A 7,211-nucleotide genomic window follows, 5' to 3' on the forward strand; every position below is an offset into this window, starting at 1 on the left:
GTGTGTGTATACTATATTATACTGTATATGTAATATATATATTCCCTGTGCTTTGTAGAAAAGTAATATAATTTGTTTGCACCAAAATCCAGTTTATGCTCCCGTGAGGAAAATATTGTCCCCATTGAAGACAGAAGTAGGCACAGTGGGGCTGTAGGTCAAATCTGGCCTGCCACTTACTTTTGTAAAATGTCTTATTTGCACATTCCCATGTCATTTATTTACATATAGTTTATGGCTGCTTCTGGACCGTATCTACAGGGCTGAGTAGTTGCCACAAAGACTATCTGGCTCACCAAGCCTGAAATATTTACCATTTGGCCTCTTACAGAAAAAAAAGTTTGTCATACCTTGCTCTATATCAGGACTGAGAAATGGATGTGGAAAAGTTCATCAGCTCACAGACTGACAACTTATCACATGATATCTTGGCATTATGATTTCATAATATTCATAGGGCCTAGGGTATTGTCATACCAGGTGTTCATTACTGTGGAACAAAGGAAATTCAGCAGAGGCCAAGCTGATTCCAGAAGGCTATTTAGGTTGAAGGGTGTTTTTAGATATTATGAGCTTATTTGGATTTGATCAGGATCAAGGGTTTTAATATCAGGAGAAGCAAGAAGTATCACAATGTAAGAAAATTGAATGTAAAGTCTGGGTATTTTGCTAAGATAGGAAAAGGGAAAGCTTTGGTTAAAAAACATAGGCAGAAACCATGAAGCAAAGATAAGCTGATGTTAATAAAGCCATAATTGGCAAAAAGACAATAGTATTACTAGGTAGCATTTATATAAAATAATTTTTTTGGATGTTCTAAGATCTTTCCACGCACTATTAAATTCTCAAACACAAGGAGCTGAATATCATTTTAATCATAAAAACATTAGCAATAACAGAAAAAAGATTCAGCATTTTTTGACCACTCTGAGGCCAAGCAAAACAAAACAAAACTTGTGTTCGCTCATCTCACCCAATAGTCAACACTAAAGACCTCTGTGACTGGTTTATGTGGATTTTATTTTCCACACACCAAGCAAGCAATCAGTTCTGCAGTGGACACCAGCTGGGTGTCCTCTAATTCAATGCAATTCTGATACAATCTACCTGGAGGTAGCGTCAGATCCCACAGGTTGAGGGCTCAATCTCCAAGATTGCCCTCTCCTTTTGATGCCAATCACAAGCTCTAGGTGGCTTTACCTGTGCTTCTGACCAGGTTGCTGTAAATCGGGGTTGGGTGAATTTGCTAGAGCAGCTCACAGAACTCAGGGAAACACTTACTTACATTTAGGTTTATTAGAAGGGATATTACAATGGATACAGATGAAGGATGCATGGGACGAAGTATGGGGCAAGGGGTGTGAAGCTTCCATGCCCTCCCAGGGTGCAACCCCCTCCAGAAACCTCCACATGCTCAGCTATCCAGAAGCTCTCTGAACCCTGTCCTGTTGAGTTTCTATGGAGGTTTTCATTACATAGGTGTGACTATTTAAACCATTGGCCATTGGTGAAACCTTCGATGTCTTCCCTCTTCCCAGAGGTTCTGCTGAAATTCCCAACCTTCTAATTGTGCCTTGGCCTTTCTGGTAAGCAGCCACATCCTGAAGCTCTCTAGGGGCTTCCAGCCACAAGCCAACTTATTAACATACACAAAGGCACTACTTTGAGGATTTTAGAAGTTGTCTGCCAGGAAACAGGGTCAAGACTAAATATATGTTTCATATCACAACCCTCTACTCTGCAATATAACCAAAGCTTAATAATACTGTCTCAAAACCGGCAACTTATTTCTCTCCATTTTACTGATGGGAAACTGATGCCCAGTGAAGGTATTTGCACAATATTAGAAACATACTCAGGAAGTGGCAAAACCCCATCTTTGAACCCAAGTTTGTCTGACACTAAAATAGATTTGCTTCATTTTTTTTCAGATGCACACCAGGGGTATAGACAGACAAGCAGAATACACGGTTCAGGAAGTCAATAAAAGTAGAACAAAGTGACAAAAAGGATGGCAAGAGGGAAAAGTATTGCGATTTCTTTTTTTAGAATAAGGATCCTTTCCAACTTGCTGTTATCTTCCACCCCCTGCATGAGCTTCTGCATGAGCTTCCAAACTCTCGCAGGTATGCGTTTGTATATATTGATAAATTCCAATTAAAATAACAGATAAAGACATCAGCTTCCTGTTGAGGACTTCATAGAGTTACGATTTTTTTTTTTTTTTACATCTGATCAAATGACATCTACTGATAGGGTTTTATACTAATAAAAAATTTTAACTGAAATAGAAATACCCAATTCTGCCCCACCATCAATATCTCGTCAGGAAAAACATAAAACATTAGCTCTTAAATAAATTTATTTAGCACATACTGAATATTCGTACTGTCCCTGATAGCTGACCCTGCCCTTCCCTGTTGGGCACAGGCCTGGAGAAGTTCATTTCCACTGGGCCAATCCAAAAGGAATGATGGAGTGGGAAGGTGAGCATCTCTTACCTGTGTCTGATAACTACATCAACCTTATAATGCCTCTGGGAGTTTTGTTTTGTTATAAAGTTGAGGTCTTACTATGTTGCCTAGGCTTGCTTCAAACTCCTGGCCTCAAGTAATCCTCCCACCTTGGCCTCCCAAAGTGCTGGGATTACAAGTGTGAGCCACCACACCCAGCCTCCTTTGGGAGGGTTAAATCAGAATATATATATAGAGAGAGTAATATTATATAATGTATATATATAAAATGTATATATACATCCTATCTTGTGCCAAGAATTCCTCCATATACTTTATATATACAACATATTACATATATAACATGTTATATTATATATATTATATGTATATATAACAAGTTTTTTATATATTTATATATATATATAAAATAATCCTAATCCTAATCCTCAAAACCTGTGAATATGTGACCTCAAATGGTAAAAGGGACCTTGCAGATGTGATTGAGTTAAGGATCTTGAGTTGGAGAGATTGTTCTGGATTGACAGGTGGTGCCCATGAAGTCACAAGGTTCTTATAAAAGAAAGGGGGAGCCAGGAAATATGTAAAGACAAGAGTTGAGAATGAACCAGAGGCAGCATGAAAACGACTTAACCAGCCACTTTTGGCTCTGGAGGCAGGGGAAGGACCATGAGCCATGGACTGCAGGTGGCCTGTAGAAGCTGAAAAAGGCAAGGAAGGCACTTGTCTTCTAGAGACTCCAGAAGTAACACCGCCCTGCTGACTCCTTGATTTTTACCATTGTAAACTTCAGACCTCCATATTGTAAGATAATAAATGCGTGTTACTTTGAGCTACCAAGTTTGTGGAAAGCAGCAATAAGAAATGAATACAAGCCATCTGTATACTCTCCCAGGACATGTCAACAGACATCATATCCCCAACCTTCTTCACTGTTCACTTAGATGCCCCCTGATTCCCCTTCTCACACCTGAGAGAGATGGAAGATTGCCCTTTACAACTCCAAATGCAATTTGTATTACTAAGCAGGAGGCCATTGAGTGTGACACTTTTGAACAAAATTAGTCCGCTGAGGTCCAGATTGCCAAATTCTTTGCCAAATAGGTGGTCTGATGTACTGCTAAATAGGTGGTCTTATGTACTACTTTGTCCAGAGGAAAAACATTGCAGACCTGGATGCATGCACTGCTTCCAGAACACACCCTGTAGCCCTGACTCTAACTTTAGTATTGTGCATGGCTATATATTCATTTCAGGAGACAAAATACTATTACCTCCTCCCTCTTCCAAGACTGCATGCTGAAAGATATGAAAAGAAATGTAGTTAGGGTAAAATAGGCGGAGATGAAAACGTAGAAAGACAGCATTTCTGGCTACTTCACAGTTTAGTTCCCACACCATGGAGATGACAGGAAAGGCACGGGAACTCCTGGATTTCTGCTTATTGTAGCCCCAAAACTACACCAAACAGTAAAGCAGGCCAGAGCCTTATTTAATTAGTTCCCCATCAGCATCAGCCATGGTCTTCTACCTCAGGTGCTGGTGTTTTCAGTGTCAATTCATTTGCATTTGGTAGAGATTTTTTTTTTTCTTGAGATGGAGCCTCACTCTGTTGCCCAACTGGAGTGCAGTGGTATGATCTCAGCTCACCACAATCTCCACCTCCTGGGTTCAAGCGATTCTCCTGCCTCAGCCTCCTGAGTAGCTGGGATTATAGGCACGCACCACCATGCCAGGCTAATTTTTATATTTTTAGTAGAGACGGGGGTTTCACCATGTTGACCAGGCTGGTCTCGAACTCCTGACCTCAAGTGATCCATCCGGCTTGGCCTCCAGAAGTGCTGGGATTACAGGCATGAGCCACCATGCCTGGCCTGTAGAGATTCTTTCAGATGCTACCCTAAGTTCTTTTTGTTAGCCTTTGTTCCTAGTGCTCTTTTACATTTTCTTTATAAAAAATACCCTCATGGAAAGGTGAAAGGAGACATATCAGTCACTATTATATCATCCTAAGCCACAGTTACCTCCCTTTATTTGAATTTATTTTTAAAGCCAAGGGAAGCATTTTTGTGCATGACAGAAATTTGTATGAAATAATCCTGCTAAAAACTTAGGATTCGAACAATTGTGTTCACTCATGTCATTCTGTAAATTCTGGAGCTATTATTACATTGGAAACTTGTTATTACATTTCTGCACTTAAAGCAGAACTAGGTATACAGTGAGTTTGTTTTGGATGACTTCCAAAAGCTTTCATTTCTGAAGAAAAAAAAAATCTGTGTATCAGCCACAGATAGATTGGCTTTCGTAGGATTTCTTTGTCATGACTGAGGTGCATCTGCCCATTCCATTCCATTTCTCTATAACAGGCTTTCTCCATCTTGGTACAGTTGACATTTTGGCAGAAATGGATAATTCCTTGTCATGGGGAGCTGTCCTCTGCATTGTGGAAAGTTTATCAGCATCCCTGGCCTTTTCACACAAGATGCTAGGAGCACCCACCCCCACCATCAAATAATAACAACAGAAAATGTCTCTAGATATTGATGGTGTCCCCTAGGAAGCAAAATTATCCCTGGTTGAAAACTGCTGCTGTCTGAAAATGAGGATCAAAAGGAAATGACGGTTTTGATAGGTCTTGATTCCATTCTGACACTGCCACTTGAAGGTATGTGCTAGCCACGGAGAGAAAATGCCTCTGAGTGAAATGAGAACATTGTTAATTAAACCCTGTAACACATTGGAACCTTGCAGAGCTTCATGCATGGGGGGCGGGAGATCCATTTCCTTTCCTACTTCACCAGAGACTGGCTGGGAACTGGCAGCTCTAGCGAGCGCAGTGATCAGCAAAGATGTGCACCAGCGGGTTTTCAAATGACAGTAGTGCCAGGTGGCTCAGGGCAGAGCCCAGACCAGCTGCAGCTGTGGTAATCACCAGTAGTGAGTCAGAGCTGTGGAAGCAAGCATTACCAGTGATGGTACGGTGAAGGTTCTAACACAGAGACAGAGCTTGCCTAAAGGTAAGTTTCTAAGGCATATAGAAATGTGTGGCTAGTGGAATCTTAGAATGGCCCAAGTGAGCTGCGGTTCCACATTGAACTTAGACCAGCAGAAGAGTTGGCTTGGAGGAGAAACAGGGGCAAAGGGTCAGGAGAGCAATTCACATCAATGCTAAGGATGGGTGATCACTGCCTCAAGTAGCTGAGAAATATTTGAAGGGATGGAAGGAGTTACTTTAAGGAGAGTTTTCATCCTGGATAAATAAGAAGAGAGAATTTAAAAAGCAAGATTTGTGCATTAAAATTAAAATGGGCTCATTTGAATCCTTAGGCTAATGAGAACTCAGAAAAGGTAGGGTTGTGAGCAAATCAATGAACCGTTACTTAAAATGTGTATTTTTAGGCACTGTAAGTGCTACAAATAAATGAATATGGTAGTTAGTGCTATTAATAAAAAAAGAAAGTCCTAGAAAAAATTTTAGTGACTTTTCAGTTCATTTCATGTTTGCCAAAAAAAAAAAAAAATCCAAATTGATTAGTAACCCATGGTTTTATATCTTTCTTCATTTTAATAAGTCAATTCTTAAATGGACTTATGGCCCTATTCTATCAGTATCTATTTGAAGTTCACTTACATACATAAATGTAGTTATTTATCGGTAATTAGTTATTCATGAGATGTGGCGTATGTAGCTTAATATGTAATTAAAATACAATGGGCTCAAACATGACATGTTAAGAAAATATATTAAAGTGTTCAAATAAGTTAGGAAAATCACAGCTAATCAACCTCGCTTAGCACATACTACCAACTATTTAAGTGCTTAATAGGAATCATTAACAAGGAGTGCAAATACTGTAAATGCAAATGGTGGTGATGTGAGGCTTCTTAATATGGCATAGTGGCTGTACATGGTTTATTTCCCTCTACTTTGCTAAATTCAACTAAAATAACAGTAATATAATAATAAGGGCATAAATTCACAAAGGCAAAGAAATAGGGGGAAGAAATCACAACAGTGATAAGTGATTTTAACAATTTGCAAGATGGAAGAATAACTGGTTGGTTTAGAAAAGAAGTTATAACCTATGTGACTACAGAGGTGAAACCAGTAAGAGGCAACTCCCTTTTTTCTCATGGAATGCCCAGATGCTTAGGAACTGGAAACCTGATTTACCTCAGAAGCAGTAAGCCAGGTGCTAAATAAAAACATAGAAATGGTTGAAAATAGGGATATGTAATGCTTAGACCAGATGGCTACTCATTCTGTTGGCAGGAGAGAGAAAATTTGAGGAAAAGTGTTTGGGAGTTCGGTGATATCAGAGAGGGTTTACAAGGAGAAGTGGGAGAAGAAAAGACAGGTGTTGAAAATAAAAACTCAGTGAAAATCTACATAGGAGACAACTGGGCTCCCAGCTACTTTCCTCCACCCACTTCTAGAATGGAAGTGGCTGGGATTCTAGCTCACCTTAACCAGGTGAGCACAGCACAGCATCTGAGTACTAGGGAAACTAAACTACCCCAGTAAAGGGGACTTATGCATATTAACAATTACATTTTATTCTCAGTAAAAAAGCTAGACACTAGCGTATCACACATTCACACTATTATAAGCCCAGGAATCAATAATCCTTGACCACTTACAAGTAAATTCCAATTCGATTTTTAGTGTCTCACTCTGAAAAAGGATTTTCAGGTTTTTGAGTATAGAAAAATAGAAGCAGCATAAGGATCTAA

The sequence above is a fragment of the Homo sapiens genome, chromosome 10 (genome assembly GCF_000001405.40).
Source record: "Homo sapiens chromosome 10, GRCh38.p14 Primary Assembly".
Taxonomy (NCBI): domain Eukaryota; kingdom Metazoa; phylum Chordata; class Mammalia; order Primates; family Hominidae; genus Homo; species Homo sapiens.